We start from the raw sequence: 20684 nt of genomic DNA on the forward strand, positions 1-20684 counted from the left end.
TCAGCCTCCCAAGTAGCTGGGATTATAGGCATGCACAACCATGCTCGGCTAATTTTTGTATTTTTAGTAGAGATGGGGTTTCACCATGTTGGTCAGGATGGTCTCGAACTCCTGACCTCAAGTGATCTGCCTGCCTCAGCCTCCCAAAGTGCTGGATTACAGGCATGAGCCACCTTGCCTGGCCTTTTTTTCTTTTTTTTGAGATGGAGCCTCACTCTGTCACCCAGGCTGTAGTGCAGTGGTGCAATCTTGGCTCCCTGCAACCTCTCTCTCCCAGATTCAAGGGATTCTCCTGACTCAGCCTCTTGAGAAGCTGGGATTACAGGCATGCACAACCACATCCAGCTAATTTTTTTTGTATTTTTTTTAGTAGGTACGGGGTTTCACCATGTTGACCAGACTAGTCTGAACTCCTGACCTCAAATGATCTGCCCGCTCAGCCTCCCAAAGTACAGGGATTACAGGCATGAGCCACCATGCTCAGCCCTTTGCCCAATTTTTAATTGGATTGTTTGTCTTTTCATTGTTGACATATGAAAGTTATTTATATATTCTGGATAGTATGCCCTTATCACAGAAACAATTTACAAATATTTTCTCCCATCCTATAAGTTGTGTTTTCACTTTTTCTTTTTTTCTTTTTTTTTTTTTTTTTACCTTTTCTTAAATAGAGTTGGGGTCTTACTATGTTACCTAGGCTAGTCTCAAACTCTCAAACTCCTGGACTCCAGCAATCCTCCTACCTTGGCCTCCCAAAATGTTGGGATTTCAGCTGTGAGCCACCAGGCCCGGCCCTTCACTTTCTTGATAGTGTCCTTTATACACAAAAGTTTTTAATTTTGATGAAGCCCAATTTATCTTTTTTTCTTTTGTTATTTGTACTTTTGGTGTCATATTTAAGAAACTGTTACCTAATCCAAGGTCATAAATATTTATACCTATGTTCCCTTCAAGAGTTTTATGAGCTCTTACATTTAGGTCTTTGATCCATTTTGAGTAAATTTTTTTTATATCATGTGATACTTCAAGTATCTACTTTGGATAGATTCCTAAAAAGTGGGCATATAATGCTTCAGGAGTGGTTTTGATTTGGGTTTTTTTTTTTTTAAGAGACAAAGTCTCAAGTCTTGCTGCATCTCCAAGGCTGGAGTGCAGTGGCACGATCATAGTTCACTGCAGCCTAGAAATCCTGAACTCAAGCAATCCTCCCACCTCAACCTCCCAAGTAGCTAGAACTACAGGTGCATGCCACTATGTTCAACTACGTTTTTTTATTTTTTGTAGAGACAGGGTCTTGCTATGTTGTCCAGGCTGGTCTCAAACTCCTGGCCTCAAGAAATCCTCCCACTTTAGCCTCCCAAAGTGCTGGGATTACAGGTGTGAGCCACCACACCAGGCCCAGTTTTAAACACAGAAGCTGAATTTCTAATTCCAGTCACAGTTCCATCATCAATGAGGACAAAAGAAGTAAGAGTGCATGTATTTAACAAAACATTATATTTTTCTTTGTAAGCAAATGACTAAAATTAACAAGAAATTACTGGATAACTGCCTCACTCATTTGCCATCACTTTTTCCAACTGCTGCTCCTACTGTCTTAATTACTTTTGTCTGGTGCTTTGCAGAACTGTCACTGCGAGGATTCATTTTGGACCTTAACTGTCAGATCACTTTAGCCAGGTTTCATCTCCTGCTAAAGATTCCACATGAAGAGATGGCATAAAGGAGCTGGTGGGTACAAGGCTCTTCACAGACATGCAAACCTGGAGAAACCATCTGTGGCCAGCATTCCTTGTTCATCTAAGAAAATACATGTTCCTTTATAATCTAGTTTTCCAAACATGGATCACCTCCTCTTCCCCTAAATTTTCTTTCCTTGTAGCTACACAAATGAAACCACTCAAGTTCCCATCTCTTCTCCCTGCCAGTGTTGCATCGGGCTGATAATGCTGGACGGGAGAAAACAAACCTCTTTGACTCTTCCGCCATCTACTGACATGGAAAACTGCCTATGCGGCAGTGAAACATAAAGAACTACCGGAAAAGAGGAGGACCTAGATGCTGAGCCCTGATATGGAAGACAAAAGACCAAGGTTGTTACTGAACTGGGGGATGGGGATGGAGAGCTGGATTTACAAGTGATGTCTTTTTAAAAAAAAAAAATATCTTAGGCTGGGTGCAGTAGCTCACACCTGTAATCCCAGCACTTTGGGAGGCTGAGGTGGGCAGATCACTTGAGGTCTTCTAGTACTTGGCAACATCTATTACTGCACTGCTAAGTTATGGAATCACATTTGTTTTCCCTGAAATAAGTTTTCTTGGCTTCTCCATCCACTGATAATCTCTCCCACAATATTGTGACTTGATTCTGTTCCAGGTGAACCTTTTCCTAGTATTTCTTGTATTCTTTATTATCTGTCATGTTAGGGCAGCTGTGGAGCTTCATTTTTACAACTGCTGAATCTAAATTTAACTGCTGATTTTCTACCATCCATTTTCAACCTTCTTTAAAAAGCCTGGTGAGTAACTTTATCTGTCATGGCCCATTTCAATGCCCTCAATAGTAAAACCGGCGAATGTGGAGACCCATCCTTAATGAAGAGACCAGTTTGGTCATTCTTACTATTTTCCATGGATTTTCAACATGATTAAGAAAAAATAATTTGAGGCTGAGAATTGTAGTTACCCAACTGAATGGAAGGCAAAGGAAGAAACTAGACGCTCCCAGGTAACTGCCCAGTTTTTGTATTTGTTTTTCCTTTCCACCAATGACAAGGTATGCTCAATAACTTTACTCCCGAAGGAGGATATCCCATTCTGAAAAACACACCACTGTATGCGATAAAGGCAGGGGGAGGAAACATTACACTGTGGGAGAGGGAACAAACGTTTGATCAGCGTGTAACAGAAAACAGTTCTGGCAACTATTATTTCTTCTTCTCCCTCAAATCCAGGAAAGGTCCATAGGCCATTTTCTGTAATATTTCACCAACCAAAATGATCTCTTGGACTTGAAAATAAACGCCCCCATTTCCAACCCTCCATCACTCTAAAATTATTAGTGATCTTCAGGTACTTGAAAAAGTAAACTTCTGGCCAGGCGCAGTGGCTCATGCCTGTGATCCCAACATTTTGGAAGGCCGAGGCAGGCGGATCACTTGAGGTCAGGAGTTTGAGACCACCCTTGCCAACATGGTAGAACGCCATCTCTACTAAAAGTACAAAAATTAGCCAAGTGTGGTGGTGCACACCTGTAGTGCCAGCTGCTTGGGAGGCTGAGGCAGGAGAATCGCTTGAACCCGGGAGGCGGAGGTTGTAGTGAGCTGAGATCGTACCACTGCACTGTGACAGAGCAGGCTCCATCTCAAAAAAAAAAAGTAAACTAAACTTCTTATTGAAATGTAATGCACAGAGAAGTATGCAGCTCTCTCCAAACCTTTTTTATCTCTTTCCAATTATTTTTTTAAAAAAGTATATGTGCCCCAGCATGCTTCCTTGTTATGAACTGTGCACAGGTAGGACTCTGCTAATATTATGTAAATTATAAAACATATACAAACAGGACAGGAGAGAAAATGAGGAAAAATCAACAGAAATAGGAGTTCTAATTTTTACTTTGCACACTTCAATGGGCCAGTCTTACATATAACTTTAGAAATCACAGCTTTAAAGACAGTGGCAACACGCTGCATTCACAACCAGGTTGACTGGAGGCTTTAGGAAAGGTTTGGTAGCTTCTGGCCTCAATGGTATGACATCAACTCAATCTCCAAAAATACACTGGACAGAAATCCAGCTGTCCTAAAAGTTTAGAAATGTGGCCACCATGTCTGTGATATCCAAGGGTTGCAAATCACATTGCATGTCTTTATCCGCAACGGCAGTCTTCTAGGAAAATGGCATTTGGGGAAGGAAGAAGGTGGATACAAATATACCTTCTTCCTCCTTTGTGATAATATAAAATTAATTACAGAAAAAGTAAGGGTTGGCTCTTAGCTGTTATTAAAGATTAAAATTATCTTGGTCAAAGGGAAATAGAAATTAGGTTCTCCAAACTTTTAAAACGTGTTTCTAAGGTTTACAGTTGAGGTGAAATAATTGCTTAGCTGACTGTGGATGAAGCAATGAAATAACTCCAGTTTTAACTCACTGGGTAACCATTAGGTAAGCTTCTGCATCTATAAAAACTGTGTTAAACTGGATGTGCCTACAACACTGAGTATGACGTGTAACTAGCACCACCTAGTGGACATTCATATGGCAATACGCGATAAAGGAAGCTGCATGGCCAGGATGGAAAAGTTGCTGGTCACAGTAGCAGCAAAGGGCTTAGCTAGTTCTTCCTGGCAGCCTCCTCAATAATTCATAGTTTACTGGGAATCATATATCAAATAGTTTTAGCTCTTCAGAAGAAAATGAAATTTATAATTAACTGCATTGCCCGGGTGCAGTGGCTCACACCTGTAATCCCAGCACTTTGGGAGGCCGAGGCAGGTGGATCACAAGGTCAGGAGTTCGAGACCACCCTGACCAACATGGTGCAACCCCGTCAAATACAAAAATTAGCTGGGCATGGTGGCACACGCCTGTAATCCCAGCTACTCAGGAGACCGACGCAGGAGAATGGCTTGAACCTGGGAGGTGGAGGTTGCAGTGAGCCGAGATCGTGCCATTGCACTCCAGCCTGGGTGAGAGACTCTGTCTCAAAAAAAAAATTAACTGCATTATGACAGACTTTTTTCCTTTTAGCAATTGAAACTGGCATCCCAAGGATGCTCTAGATACAGTCATAAAGATAATGCTTACTGCATCTCTCATCACTGGCTTACTTGGAAAAGAACAAAAAAAAAAAAGTTATAAAGAAAATCTGCCTGGACCAGGGGTGATAGCTCACATCTGTAATCTCCGCACTTTGGGAGGCCAAGACAGGAGGAAGGCCTGAGGCCAGGAGTTTGAGGCCAGCCTGGCCAATATAGCGAGACCCCAGCTCTATTAGAAAGAAGAAGAAGAAGAAGAAAATCTGCCTGATAAAGAGCTAAAGAAGCAGCCTCAAGCTGCTAGAGCCACAAGCGCCCCTGGAACTGTGCACTTAAATAGCATTGTCTTTAGCACTAGCATAACTGGGCAAAAGGAGCACCATCTCTGTAACCTATAACTTGAATGGTGCTTGCCCCCTTGGAGTTGTTCAAGGAGTCTAGACTGGCCAAAGCAGGCAACCGGCCTGGCTTCAATAACTATGCTTGGAACTTTGGGCCTTGAGGCTAAGAGGTGTGTTGTACTATTTCAGCATGTTTTATGAATTGGTTCCACAGAGCTGTTACAGCACAGCCAAATTTTACTCTTCAAAAACCATCCTAGGTATTTTATTCTCTTTGAAGCAATTGTGAATGGGAGTTCACTCATGATTTGGCTCTCTGTTTGTCTGTTATTGGTGTATAAGAATGCTTGTGATTTTTGTACATTGATTTTGTATCCTGAGACTTTGCTGAAGTTGCTTATCAGCTTGAGGAGATTTTGGGCTGAGACAATGGGGTTTTCTAGGTATACAATCATGTCATCTGCCAACAGGGACAATTTGACTTCCTCTTTTCCTAATTGAATACCCTTTATTTCCTTCTCCTGCCTGATTGCCCTGGCCAGAACTTCCAGCACTATGTTGAATAGGAGTGGTGAGAGAGGGCATCCCTGTTTTGCGCCCGTTTTCAAAGGGAATGCTTCCAGTTTTTGTGCATTCAGTATGATATTGGCTGTGGGTTTGTCATAGATAGCTCTTATTATTTTGAGATACGTCCCATCAATACCTAATTTATTGAGAATTTTTAGCATGAAGGGTTGCTGAATTTTGTCAAAGGCCTTTTCTGCATCTATTGAGATAATCATGTGATTTTTGTCTTTGGTTCTGTTTATATGCTGGATTACATTTGAAGTCAGTGTGGCGATTCCTCAGGGATCTAGAACTAGAAATACCATTTGACCCAGCCATCCCATTACTGGGTATATACCCAAAGGATTATAAATCATGCTGCTATAAAGACACATGCACATGTATGTTTATTGCGGCACTATTCACAGTAGCAAAGACTTGAAACCAACCTAAATGTCCAACAACGATAGACTGCATTCAGAAAATGTGGCACATATACACCATGGAATACTACGCAGCCATAAAAACTGATGAGTTCATGTTCTTTGTAGGGACATGGATGAAACTGGAAACCATCATTCTCAGCAAACTATCGCAAGGACAAAAAACCAAACACCGCATGTTCTCACTCATAGGTGGGAATTGAACGATGAGAAAACATGGACACAGGAAGGGGAACATCACACACTGGGGACTGTTGTGGGGTGGGGGGAATGGGGAGGGATAGCATTAGGAGATATATCTAATGCTAAATGACGAGTTAATGGGTGCAGCACACCAACATGGCACATGTATACATATGCAACAAACTTGCACGTTGTGCACACGTACCCTAAAACTTAAAGTATAATAATAATAAAATTTTTAAAAAATCATCCTTGGGTAGGCCTACCCGAAACAAATTAACACAGGAACAGAAAACCAAATACCACATATACTCATTCATAAGTGGAAGCTAAACCATGGGTACTCATGGACATAAAAAGATGGCAACAACAGACAGTGGGGACTACTGGAAGGGGGAAGGTGACAAGGGTTGAAAAACTGTTAGGTACTGTGCTTACTATCTGAGTGACATTCACACCCCAAACCTCAGCATCACGCAATAGAGCCCAGTAACAAACCTGCACATGTACTCCCTGAATCTAATATAATCATTCCTTCAAAAAATCATCCTGAGAGCCTATCTTGGCCACCCTCTGGATTTCAACATACTTTTTGTGCAGCTTAATTATATCTGGCATAGCTTCATGCCCTCTCTACAATTTCCCAATCCTGGGATTCATGTGCTGCCAAAGCATAATAATCTTGTAGTGAATACATATTCTCCTTTAAGCACTGAAACCTAAGAAAGCTTTGAGCTTTTTTATGGGGGCAGAGGGGTGGTTGTTGATGTGAACTGTTTAAGACCTTTCCTGTGTTCATCATAACTACAGATCAAAAAAGTTTTCATTCTTAGCATATCCAATTAGACTTCATTCCTAAAGATTAAAGAACAAATGAGGGAACAAGTTTATCATTAGGTGCTTATCACTGTGCACCTATTATAGGCCAGGCCCTCTATGATCCTCATTTTGCTCTTACTACAGCTGTGTTTGGTATTATTTCCTCCACTTACAAAGGAAATGAGCTCAGAGAAAAATTATCAAAGATCATAAAGCCAGTAAGTAGCAAAACCAGGATTTAAATTCAAGTCTCCTGACTCTAATTCCATTGTTTATTCATCTATGCCCTGGTGATATTAACTAATAAGCTCACGTGCCAAACATAACCCTTACCCCCATCCACTACATACTTATTTCTGAATAGAAAATAAAAGTCACACACAATTAAATGACAAGAAAAAAGCCCCACAATCTTAGTATGCTACGATTCTCAAAAAGGACTTCACGATTCTAGCCACACGATTTCTCAAGCATCAAGGGACTACTTAGAACACTTAGTAGGGCCTTGTACGTAGGTGCTCAATGAAAGGTTGTTTTAAAAGTCTCACAGTATTACCCCACAGATTATTTTGTTCATTTACAAAAGAAAAGATATATACTTTAAAATGGAAAAAGATCTGGCGATCTTAACCCAGCGATTAATCTTAGCATCACCAACAGTGGGACAACCTGACATTGTGTGCTTCTTGACATGATGCAGTAACAGAGGCACCACACAATCTATGCTATATCCTTGCCAAAAGTAAAATCCACATCTACTAAGAAAACAACCAAACCTGGACAACATAGTGAGACCCCATCCCTACCAAAAAAGAAGATAGCCAGGCATGGTGGCACAGGCCTGTAGTCCCAGATACTCAGGAGGCTGAGGCAAGAGAATTGCTTGAGCCCAGGCATTCAGGGTTACAGTAAGCTATAATCATGCCACTGCACTCCAGCCTGGGAAAAGAGGGATATTCTGTCTCAAAATAAAAAATAATAATAATAAAACATAGCCAGAAAAATCCAGGATAGGGGATATTTTACAAGACAATTGGCTTAGACACTTCAAAATGTTCATTGCCATGGGCAGAAAAAGCAGAGGACTATTCTAGATTAAAAGAGGAAAGATATAACCAAAAGTATGCCTGAACCTTGGACTAGACCCCGGATGAGGAGAAAATGTTTTAAAAGACACTTTGGGATGATAGGGACAATTTATTCCATACAGATCTATCATATTGGATATTGAGTTATTCTTAATCAGCTCAGATATGGCAATGACATTATGGCTAGGGAGGAGAATATTCTTATTCCTAGATGAATGTGTATTTAGGGGTGAAGTATCATGGTGTTACAATTTACTTTCAAATGATTCAGCAAAAGAAATTAGATAAAGCACATATGGTAAAATGTTGCATTTGTGGATCTAGGTGAAAGTTATACTATTATACTATTCTTTCAACTTTTCTGTGTACTTAAAATTTCTTCAAAGTATTTTTTAACATTCTTGAATAAAATTCAAGACAGTTGGGATAAATTCAACTCTTCTAAGAATATGATTTCTGAAAATACCAGGTTGTAAGCAATCAATCAATATAAATATTTATTGTGACCCTGCTATTAATATATCCTAATCAACCCCTCTGGGAGCTGTAGTGGTGACTAAACAGTGCTTCATGCTCTCTTGGAACCCATGTAGCATGTTATTTTGTACGTGTGTGTGTTGGAAGAAAGAGGAATTATTCTGGAATGCTTCCCCAAGTAATGCCTCAGCTTAAACCTGAAGGATAAATAAGTAGGTGTTGCCTAGTTATAGGATGGTAGGGAAACGGGTCAGAGAAAACAAACAGGTGTGAAGGCACTAATGATGGAGTTGGCCAATCTGGAGAGTGAGAATATTTACTCCTACTGCTTCCTCCAGGCCCCCACTCTTTTTAGATAGCCTGTTGGTCTCCTGGTTCCATTAACCAACTCCCTCTATTCAATCTTCAGACCCAGGAGTAGTAGTAACAGGACTCCAATGTTACTAGTCCCAAGAACTAAACTCACCCTGAGGTTTCCCTATACCCTACATACAACTTTGTAAAGGTCCTTTTATTAAACTTTCCTCAAATTATCCAATTTCAGTAAGCCATCTATTTCCTGCCAGCAGGACTGATAAAAATCTCTAGAGACAGATATGGGAGATGTCTGCATATTTCATATGGTATCTGGGACCATGGAATGGAGATAATCTAGGAAGAAGGCTGAAGATGAAGCCTGGGCCAGTGAGCATCTGAGGTCCAAGGAAAACCTAGAAAGTGTGTTTTCAACCAAGAGTATTTCAAGAAAGAAACTGTCAATCGTATTAAGTACTGTGGAGAGGCTGGGTAAATAAGATAAAGGCTTTGGAATGTCTCATGAAGAAGCCATCAGTGACAGATCAACATTGAAGAGATTTGTAAAGTTAATTGGAGGCCAAGTATACACTTACTTGAGGGGAAAAAAAAAAAAAAAAACAGTATGGCCAGGCATGGTGGGTCACACCAGTAATCCCAGCACTTTGGGAGGCTGAGGCGAGCAGATCACTTGAGGTCAGGAGTTCGAGACCAGCCTGGCAAACATGGCGAAACCCTGTCTCTACCAAAAAATACAAAAATTAGCCAGGCATGGTGGCACATGCCTGTAATCCCAGCTACTCGGGAGGCTGAGGTGGGACAATCCCTTGAACCCAGGAGGCAGAGGTTGCAGTGAGCTGAGATTGAGCCACTGCTCTCTAGCCTGGGCTACACAGTGAGACTCTGTCTCAAAAAAAAAAAAAAAAAAAAGAAAAGGAAAGGAAAAAAAAAAAAAGTATAATTTTTCAGGTTTCTATTTTAACTCTACCAGGAACTTACTAAATAATTTGAGATTTTTTAGTTTTAATTATTTTGAGATTTAAATATAAATGTAAGCAAAAACAATCCTTCTCTTTTATTTGCAAAAAGCCAATACTGGCTGGGCGTGGTGGCTCACGTCTATAATCCCAGCACTTTGGGAGGCTGAGGCAAGTGGGTCACCTGAGGTTAGAAGTTCAAGACCAGCCTGGCCAACATGGTGAAACCCTATCTCTACTAAAAATATAAAATTGGCTGGGCGTGGTGGCAGGCGCCTGTAATCCCAGCTACTCGGGAGGCTGAGGCAGGAGGATCGCTTGAACCCAGGAGGCGGAGGTTGCAGTGAGCCGAGATCACGCCATTGCACTCCAGCCTGGGTAACAAGAGCAAGACTCTGTCTGAAAAAAAAAAAAAAAAAAAAGCCAATACCTGGAGACACAGTTAAGCTAATATAAGCCATAGAAGTTTAGAGAATAAATGCTGTAAAACAGAATAAATCATTTTCCCCTTTCAGATAAAGAGCAGGCTTTCGCAAAAAAATCTTTTGTCTCTCTCTAAACTGAATGACTAAGTTCTTTCATGCTAAAGCTTGCAACTAAGTTTGTCTAAGACCCCCTAGTCAACATACAATAACAAGCAGTTTCTAACCAGGGTGTAAGGTATTTGATACCTAAAGCATTCTCATGACTACAATGAGTAACCAAACTCCACAGCTTGAGAAATTGTTAGACAGAACCCGCAGATCCCTTTCTTTGAGAACATGAGCCTGTGAAATTATCTATCTTTGATCTAATTTGGCTTTCTCCTCCCTTCCGAGTTCACTGAACATCACACAAAAATGATTGCCTGGCCACTACAATGCTAAATCTGGGGCACTAGGAAACTGTTCTAGGGACGCTGAATAGAAGAGCTCCCAGGGTACCTTCTATTGTTCACTGCAGAGCAGCCACCTTGATGAATTGTTTTAAGATATCGTTTCACTAAACCTCCAGCAGTTTTCTCCACAAAAAGACAGATAATAGGTACTTTGAACATTATCAAAATTAAAAAACAGAATTTGATTTAAGTTAAAGATCAACGTATCTGCAAAAGTTAAACTTGCCCCTCATTTCAGCCTTCAGAAAGAAGGGAGGCAAGAAGAGACCCAGGGAATAGTTTCCAATGAGGGTTAGGACAGCATTACTGCAGCAGACAGGAGACAGTTTAGAGAACAAAGGCTTTCAAATAAGAAAAGCAGATTCTTTCATTCAAGTTACATGACCTCCTGGCACCTCCTCTTACCGGTAAATAGATTTTTTTTTACTTTGCAGGGTTACTTAAACAATGTTTAAAAGTGTCTGGCCCAACAGTAGGTCTTTTCTTTTTTTTCTTTGGAGGTGGAGTCTTACTCTGTCACCCAGACTGGAGTGCAGTGGCCCAACTCAGCTCACTGCAACCTCTACCTCCCAGGTTCAAGCAATTCTCCTGCCTCAATCTCTCGAGTGGCTGGGACCACAGGCGCATGCCACCATGCCTGGCTAATTTTTTTATTTTTAGTAGAGACGGTGTTTCACCATGTTGGCCTGGTTGGACTTGAACTCCTGACCTCAAGGGATCCACCCGCCTGGGCCTCCCAAAGTGCTGGGATTACAGGTTTATATAAGCCACAGTGCCCAGCCAGGGTTTTTCATATTGTGAGAGCCATTTTTCTTTTTACTTGCTACACAAAGCATTTGCATTGTAGGGCGAGACGACCAATTTAAAGAGATTCAGTTAAAAAAAAAAAAAGCTGTGACAAACTCTAGGTGCCTTCCCATTAGCCCCACCCGCACCTCTTGGTATCCAATCCTTCGTATGAGCCTCTCCCCTTGGATATGGGCAGGACCTGAAAAGACCCCTCTTGCTGGCAGCTTGGCTCTCGACACTTGCTGGTAGTGACAGTAATCATGTCAGTGGTCCAGTCAGCAGCCAGGCCATGCAGGGAGCACCCAGCTGGCAAGGAACTAAGCGGGGGCCTCCAGCTGACAACCAGTGAGAGGTCTGGACACTCAGTCCTGCAGTGGCAAGAACTGAATTCTGCCAGCCGAGTGAGGCTGAAATGAGTTCTTCCCAAATCACCAGGTGAGAATGCAGATGAGACCATGAGCTTTCTAAAGGACCTATCTAAACCATGCTCAGACAGAAACTGAGACGCATTTGTTTTAAGCCACTAAATCTATGGTAATTTAGGACATAGCAATAGATAATACTGGTACTATCAACTTCCTTAGTTACCTTGTTAATTTCATAGTAACTGTATTAGGTGGCATCCAGACTATCCCAAATTTAAATACTAACAGTAGTATAAAAAGTCTGGCCCTTTATTACCTTTCCCAGGTAATAAAACAACTGGTTTCTAAAAGTTTGATATGGATTACACCTCTTAGGATTCCTCATAATCCTGTGAAGTAGATATTCCCATTAATTATTTAACTCAAATGACTAACAAGGGGCAGAGCTAGGAACTTGAGAACCAGCATCCAACCCCTGATGCCACCACCCTTCCAACTTTTATAGTTTCCCTAAAGTCTCAATGATGCTTCCCACTATGCCCATAGATAGTAATAAAACCACAGACAGTAAAAAGTACTGGGAACATTTTGTTCTTCCTTTTAAATCCATCTTATCCACTAGATTAATAATTGTGCACATCAGTTAAAATGTCTTTTATTCCAAAGTCTATGTCTCAGTGAAGAGGAATTTATTCCCTTCATGGCTTGTTATTAATACTAAGCACTTAAACTGAGTATATGTGAAAGCCAAAAACATTATTCTTACTGAAGACCTGTCAAACAAAGCCACAAAACAGCTCCTTTTATTTTCTAGTAAGACTAGATTTATTCAATACCCTAGTAAAAGTTTTGATTATAAGTATCCAACAGTATAAAAAGTACAAAACAGATCTGTAGATTTCTAATATATTAATACAAAGTGCATGACTACATACAGTACATCCTACAGGCAAAGAGAGGTGGAAGGGGAAAAAGAAGACTGTGGTTGAGGTCTAGTAATAAATAAATAAATACAGAAGTAGAGATGATCCATATTATAGTATATTCTACCACCAATACTGCAGCCAAAATGTACAAAAAAAATCATTTCAAATAACTCAGGAGGATGATAATGGCTGGACTTTTGTAATTCACCTCAAAGACTGTGGGAGAGCCAACTCAACTCACTGTATAGTCTGTGCATATGGTGGCTTGTAGCATGTAGGTTTTTTCCAAAAGAAGGAAATATAAAATGTTTAGATTAAGAACTATAAAACTACAGGGTGCCTATAAAAGGTGGCTTACTCCTTATTGTTATTATACTATCCAATTTTTAAAATGCAGTTTAAAAAATAAGCACTGAGTCTTGTTATTACAAGGCAGGCAAATGTTTCTCCCTCATTTTGAAAAGACTGAACTGGCAATGCTTTTCCTGAACATTTAGAAAAGAGGCAGTAAGAGTACTCTGGTTTGGGTTCAAGTGAGAGGCTTTTCATGAAAATCTTAGGATTGAAGAGCTCTAAGTTCAGGATATCTCAATGTTCAGAAAGCCTGACTAAAAGAAGCCAAACCAAAACCATTTAATGTGAACACAAACCTCTTTTCTTTTAGTAAGTTTTACTTTTAATACAGAGTGAAAGAAAATAAAAATTTAATAGGCTAAAACAAGTCAAACACCCATTCTACACAGATAAAAACCTTCACAAAGGTCAACTGAAGTAATCCAGAGCTGAAACTGAATTGTGCAGATTTTCAATGAAGTCACAGAAGTCATGTAACACAAACAAAAGTCGATTATATTTACACACTCAGCAAGCCCTCTAAGAAATGTGCCCCAAGAAGCATTAACCTTTGTTTTGTGCCATCCTGAAGACTTGCACATTTTATTTTTCAGATAGCTTAACATTTTTAATCGAGTGTGTTCTCTACCATGCGGTAATGCTTTGGTACTATTCATACAGGGTCTTGCCTATCCTAAAGACTTGCCATTTCCCCAAGAGGAGCTTTGATTCTGCTTTAGAAGTTTTACATAAATTAAAATCTTTATCAAATATTAATATGAAGGGAGGCACAGGATGCAACATATATAGTCAAGTTACCTCTCTGTATATTTAGAAATTACTTTCTCCTCCAAGGTATTTGCAACAGAAAGCTCAGTCTGTCCTGCTTAATAATCAGTAGTACAGGTGTGAATCATCAGAAGCTTGGCAAGACCTTAATATTTCAAAATTATTAACAACTACCTCTAGGGGCAAGTTCATGTTACTGAGTTATGACAAATTTATTATCATGAGGGAAAACAAGAGTAGCCAGCCATCTTAAAAATGCCCCAACCACTGCTTCTCAAAACAGAAAGACTAAAAACTACATACAGTTTATCATACAACAAATCCCATCTCTGTCCCCTGAAATTCCCCTAGTTTCATTCATTAGAAGGGGATTAAAAAAAAAAAAGACTTAAAGAGCACTTTACAGCAGCATTCAGCTTTCCTATGAAATACTCAGCATCTTAAATATTATATACAACTCTTTTTTTAGTAAGCTAGACACTGGCTTCAGAGTTTGTGGGAGTGGGGGAAATCAACCCATTCAAAACTACTCTAGAAATTGTCTTTTGGCAGAATAGCAGGTATCCAAGTTAAAAATAAGAGGGTCATTTAAGACCAGCCTGGCCAACGTGGTGAAACCCCGTCTCTACTAAAACTAAAAAATTAGCCGGGTCTGGTGGCGGGCACCTATAAACCCAGCTACTTGGGAGGCTGAGGCAGGAGAATCACTTGAACCCGGGAGACGGAAGTTGCAGTGAGCCAAGATCACGCCACTGCACTCCAGCCTGGGTAACAAGAGCAAAACTCCGTCTCAAAAAAAAAAGAGGGTCAGTTTGTAGCTTTGTGGTTTTTCAAAATTCAGATATTTTTTTTTTTGTTCCCCTTCTACATAAAAACCTCAGTCACCACTCCTGAGTGGAGATGGGCAGAGGCTCTGGCCCCTGCTCCTCTGGCTTCTCAGCAGCTGCTTTCTTATTGCTGCAGCAAGGCTTGAAGAGATGTGTGTCAATGAGGACTTCCCCAAAACGGCCTTTATAGATGATCCCACAACATATCTTCTGTCTAAAAGAAAAAATGGAGAACAAGATACATTAATAAGGAAGAAAAATAGGAATACAAAAGAAATCTACTCACTATTATAACTAGTCCAATATAACCAAAGAGTTGTGCTTCTACAATCTTGCACATTCCAAGTGAAAGGGCTCCTAGAGTAACCCCAATTAGCTAGAGAAGGGGAATTACCCAGTTGCCTTAAAGGCCACACTGGAATCTTCTCAAATATTGAGGAAGACGGCATTTTGAAAGACAGCAGTCAGTTTCAAAGGCTGCCCCTGATGTTGTTAACTATTTCCTCCAAAATCACCAACTCTTGAAAAAAAAATCAGCCACCATAAACAGGCTGATGCAGCTAGCAATTTTTTATATATATTTAATTTTTTTTCTTTATCAACTCCTAAGTGCTTGAGTGGTAATTTTTAATTAAATACTGAGTAGATAAAAATACATGTGTGGGCCGGGTGTGGTGGCTTACACCTGTAATCCCAGCAGTTTGGGAGGCTGAGGTGGGCAGATAACTTGAGGTCAGGAGTTCGAGATCAGCCTGGCCAACATGGCGAAACCCCATCTCTACTAAAAATGCAAAAATTAGCCAGGCGTGGTGGCACGTGCCTGTAGTCCCAGCTACTTGGGAGACTGAGGCAGTAGAATCACTTGAACCCAGGAAGTGGAGGTTGCAGTGAGCCGAAATCACACCACTGCACTCTAGCCTGGGAGACAGAGCAAAACTCTGTCTCAAAAAAAAACAAAAAAGGGTGTGTGTTAGCAAAGGCATCAAAAATGACAACACAATGAGAATGCCTACAGACCACATACTCTAAGGGAAAAAAGATCATTTCCTATGAAGCCCCCTGCAGGCCCCTCCACAGTCCCATCCTACCTCATCTCATCCTCTCCCCACTTAATTTTAGGTTTATCACTCCCTTTTCTTTATACTTCATGGTTTCACCGTATGTTGGCATCTCTAATCATACTGCACAGTTATCCATTACACACACACACACACACACACACACACACACACACAGAATCACAATGTATTCTGCAATGTTTTAGTCAACGTTGAGATCCATACATATTGTTATAGAGCTTTATTTCATTTTAACATGTATAATATTCTACCCTGTGAATATATAACACAGTTTTATTTATCTACTCTTATTTTAATGTATAAATCAGTGGACACATCTTAAAGGTTTTTACTAGTTTATATTGCTGGCATATAGGAATGGGAACGTCTTCAACTTTACTCAAAAACGGCCATTTATCTACATGGTTATAACTATTTACACCTATAACTGACAGTGTTCTCATCATTCCATACCTTCTCCCCAACATTTGGTAATAGACTTTATTTTAGTTTTTTCACCAATCTAATGAGTATAAAATGGTATCTCATTGAAATTTTACTTTGTATTTCCTTGATTTTCAAAAAGTTTGAACACATTATCATTTAATGAGTTATTTCATGATTCCTTTCTAAGTGTGTCCATTTTTCTGTTGGTTTATCTTTTTCTTCCATTGTAGGAGTTGTCTGTATATTCCAGATACTAATCCTTTGTCAGATATATGTGCTGGATATCATTTCATTTTCTTTATGGTATTATTTGATGAATTTAAGTTCATAATTATAATGTAATTAAACCTGGAGGTTTTTTTAAATGCTTAAGTACTCTGTCATAAAAAAATCCTTTCCCACTCAAAAGTCATAATCTATTTTCTACTTTAATGCATCTGTAATTGGTGTTTGTCTATGGTGTGAGGTAGGGAACCCAAGCCCAATTTTTCCACATGAATAACCATGTTGTTCTTAATATCCTAGCAACACTTATTGAACAGACCATTTTCGCCCACCAATCACCCCCACATCATGTATCACATAACAAGTGCTATATACATATGTGGCCTTGTTTCCAGGCTCTCTATACTATTCCATTGGTTTATTTTTCTATTCCTAGTCCCAAAACACATTAATTACCATGGCTTCATAATATGTCTTGATTTCTGTTAGGGCAAGTTTATCCACATCTTTCTTTTTCTTCTGAAGATGCCTATTTTGGGCCCTTTGCTTTTCTATATAAATTATAAATTAGCTTGTAAAGTTCCATAAATATGTTGGGATTTTGACTGCAATTACCCTGAATCTACAAAGTGATCATCTCCCTAACAGTCAGTTTAATAATATCTATGAATGTGCTATACCTCTCAATTTATTTAGGTGTCTTTAAATGTTATTCAACGGCCGGGCGCAGTGGTTCATGCCTGTAATCCCAGCACTTTGGGAGGCCAAGGCGAGCAGATCACCTGAGGTCAGGAGTTCACTATCAGCCTGGCCAGCATGGTGAAACCCAATCTCTACTAAAAATACAAAAATTAGCAGGGTGTGGTGGTGCATGCCTGTAATCCCAGCTACTCCGGAGGCTGAGACAGGAAAATCGCTTGAACCCAGGAGGCGGAGGTTGCAGTGAGCCAAGATCACACCACTGCACTCCAGCCTAAGTGACAGAGTGAGTCTCTCTCTCTCAACATAGACATATATTTATATATATACATACACACACACACACACACACACACACACACACACACATAAATAAATGTTATTCGACAATATTGTATGATTTTTACATAACTCCTCCAAAGGGCTTTTGATATTTTACTACATTATTTTATATTTCCTAACACTATGATAAAATGTATCATTCTAATGCCAAACTGCCTAGATTTAAATCCTGCTCTACTTACTATGTAACCTTAAACAAAGTACTTCCTCTTTGTACCTGTGTTTTCACATAATGCTTCACAGAATTGTCATAAAGACTAAATAAGGCCAGGTGCAGTAACTCACACCTGTAATCCCAGCACTTTGGGAGGTCAAGGCAGGCAGATCACTTGAAGCTAGAAGTTCAAGACCAGCCTGGCCAATATGGCGAAACCCCATCTCTACTAAAATACAAAAATTAGCCAGGCATGGTGGTGCGTGCCTGTAGACCCAGCTATTTGGGCGGCTGAGGTGGGAGAATTGCCTGAGCCCAGGAGGCGGACATTGCAGTGAGCCAAGATAACACCACTGCACTCCAGTCTGGGCTACAGAGTGAAACTCTGTCTCAAAAAAAAAAAAAAAAAGATTAAATAAATGCAAACAAAGTGGTTTAAAGTACTTTAAAGTACTTACACTATGCACTAGGCACTGTTCTAAAGTGTTTACTACTACACTACTACCAATATTGTATTGGTTAGAACCTTCTGTATAATGCTGAATAGAAATGGTGATAGTCAACACTCTTGATTTGTTCCTGATCATAGAGAAAATGCTTTCATTTTATCACAATTATGTATTATGTACTTTTGTCCTTTTTGTAAGATACCTGTTGTCTAAGTAAAAAAGTTTCCTTCTATTCCTATTTTGCTAAAACTTTTTTTTTTTTAAACCTTAAAGGAATGTTCAAATTTGTCAAACTCCTTCTTTGCACCACTAAGAAGACAACACCTTCCTTTAGAAACTATCAATGTGGGCTGGGCACGGTGGCTCACGCCTATAATCCCAACACTTTGGGAGGCTGAGGCAGGTGGATCACCTAAGGTCAGGAGTTCGAGACCAGCCTGACCAACATGGTGAAACCCCTTTTCTACTAAAAATACAAAAATTTAGCCAGGTGTGGTGGCCATGCACCTGTAATCCCAGCTACTCGGGAGGCTAAGGCAGGAGAATCACTGAACCCGGGAGGCAGAGGCTGCAGTGAGCAGAGATCGAGCCATTGCACTATAGCTTGGCAACAAGAGCAAAACTCCGTCTCAAAAAAAAAAAAAAAAAAGAAACTGTCAATGTGGTAAATTATATTAGTTGATCGTCTCATGTTCAAACCAATCTTACATACCTAGAATAACCCTAGTGGCTGATGATATATTTGTTTTGGTATCAAACTTATATCAGCCTTAAAAATGCTTGGGGCCTATGCCCTATTTTATCCATAGTCTGGAAAAGCCAGTGCATAGGCTCCAATCATCTGTTCCTGGATGTTTAGTACAACTTGCCTATTGTGGTTTGTTTGTTTGTTTGTTTGTTTTTTTAAATAGAGTCTTGCTTTATCACCAGGCTGGAGTGCAATGGTGCAAAAATAGCTTACTGCAAACCTAACCTCCTAGGCTCAAACAATCCCCTCACCTTGGCCTCTCAAAATGCTAGGATTACAGGTGTGAGCCATCACACCTGGCCTGAATCAATTTATTATGAGATTATCTCCGTTTTTCACTTTTTCTTGAGACAGCTTTAGCAACATGTCTTTTTTCTAGTACTGTACCTGCTTCACCTGTATGTTCAAATTTATTGGCATCAAGTTGTCTATAATATCCTATTATTTTTTAAATGTCTGCTTTATCTATACCTAAGTCTCTTTTCTCTTTCCTAAAATTGCTTATGTGTATTATCTCCTTTTCCTGATCCACTTTATCTCTAGTATATTTTTGGTCACGTCTTTTTGAAGGACCAACTCTTAGTTTTACTGATTCTCTCCACTGCATATTGTCTTTCTACTCCACTTATCTAGCAATAGGCAATGTAGGTACCTTGATGTGATTTTTATTTTAAATAAATTTTAATAGGAAGAACATACAAAAATCCCACTTCCCTGCTCAATTCCTGCTTAATCCACTGCAATCGTGTGTTACCAACTGTTTGCCAAATGCCATTTAATTGCTAAGGAAGTAGAAAAATACTGCCCATAATTAAGATGGTTTGCTGGTTAGAGAGATACTTTGTTTCTTTTACCTTTTCCAGTAAGTGAGATCTAAAAAGGAAAAAACTGGTGTTCTGTTAGAACCAGAAGCCATCTCTGTATCTGAGCCGTCATCTGACTGGTTACTGTAACAAGGAGATTGAGCTGGGGAGGCACTTGAGGTGGTACTGTGAGCATCAGAATCTGCAATAAAGATTAAGAGAAAAAATAAAATTTTCAATTTCATTACATGTAATTGCAACTAAACCTCAGCATAAGACACTGTGAAAGAGTTGGTAAAAAAGAAAAAGTAAAAAATAATTCATTTTCTATGCACTACTGATATTTGAAGATATTCAGACTAACGTGTTTTTTAAAGAAGTGAAGAAGATGGAATAGACATACTTCCTATTCCTCCTGCTTATACAACTAAAATCCCTGGATATTATATATAAAACAAACCTGAGACTCCAAAAGGTGATGATCATCTAGGGAGCTCAAGACCCAAGGCAAGCCATGGTGGTAGGTTCCTTAGTTTTTCTGGATTTTCCTTTTGCCTCATAATCCCCAGCTTTGGAAGTGAAACAGCAGCCACCCAGAAATGCCAATGTGTACAGACAATCAAAACAACAACAACAAAACAAAAATCCAAAACCCCAATTAAAACCTGATCTCTCTAGCAAAGAACTAGGAAAAGGGCAGCCTAGCCAGACAGAAAACATTTCTGAACACTAACCTTCCTGTTCCAGCCAAACCCACGGAAAAAACTGTGGACACCTTTCCTAACCCCAGCAGAGGCTGAGGTGAAGAGCCTACATTTCCACCCTCACAAGACTTAGGAAGCACCCCAACACCTATACCAGGGTGGTGTCAGAGGAAGCCTAGCGAAGTCAGGATTTTCATTATGGCCCACTAAGTACAAGGCCACCC

At 39.9% G+C, this 20684-nt stretch overlaps 1 protein-coding gene across 6 annotated transcripts in view, besides 1 other annotated feature; it reads right to left on the minus strand.

The window, feature by feature from the left end:
* Positions 11129-11423: a silencer, noted in NCBI's record as "tiled region #11157; HepG2 Repressive DNase matched - State 9:DNaseU". NCBI's record gives its function as "represses a minimal TATA promoter and a strong SV40 promoter by Sharpr-MPRA in HepG2 cells {active_cell/tissue: HepG2}" and the evidence as "EXISTENCE:reporter gene assay evidence [ECO:0000049][PMID:27701403]".
* Positions 12758-20684, minus strand: part of SINHCAF (SIN3-HDAC complex associated factor) — a 45567-nt gene continuing 37640 nt past the window's right edge. For all 6 annotated transcript variants that reach the window (NM_001135812.2, NM_021238.3, NM_001135811.2 and 3 more), the window contains 2 exons: positions 19808-19958; positions 12758-15045 (listed from right to left, as the gene is read on the minus strand). In NM_001135812.2, the coding sequence (NP_001129284.1) occupies positions 14886-15045; positions 19808-19958 (311 nt within the window). In that variant the 3' untranslated portion in view covers positions 12758-14885. The remainder of the gene's footprint in view (positions 15046-19807; positions 19959-20684) is intronic.

Source organism: Homo sapiens, chromosome 12, assembly GCF_000001405.40.
Source record: "Homo sapiens chromosome 12, GRCh38.p14 Primary Assembly".
Lineage (NCBI taxonomy): Eukaryota > Metazoa > Chordata > Mammalia > Primates > Hominidae > Homo > Homo sapiens.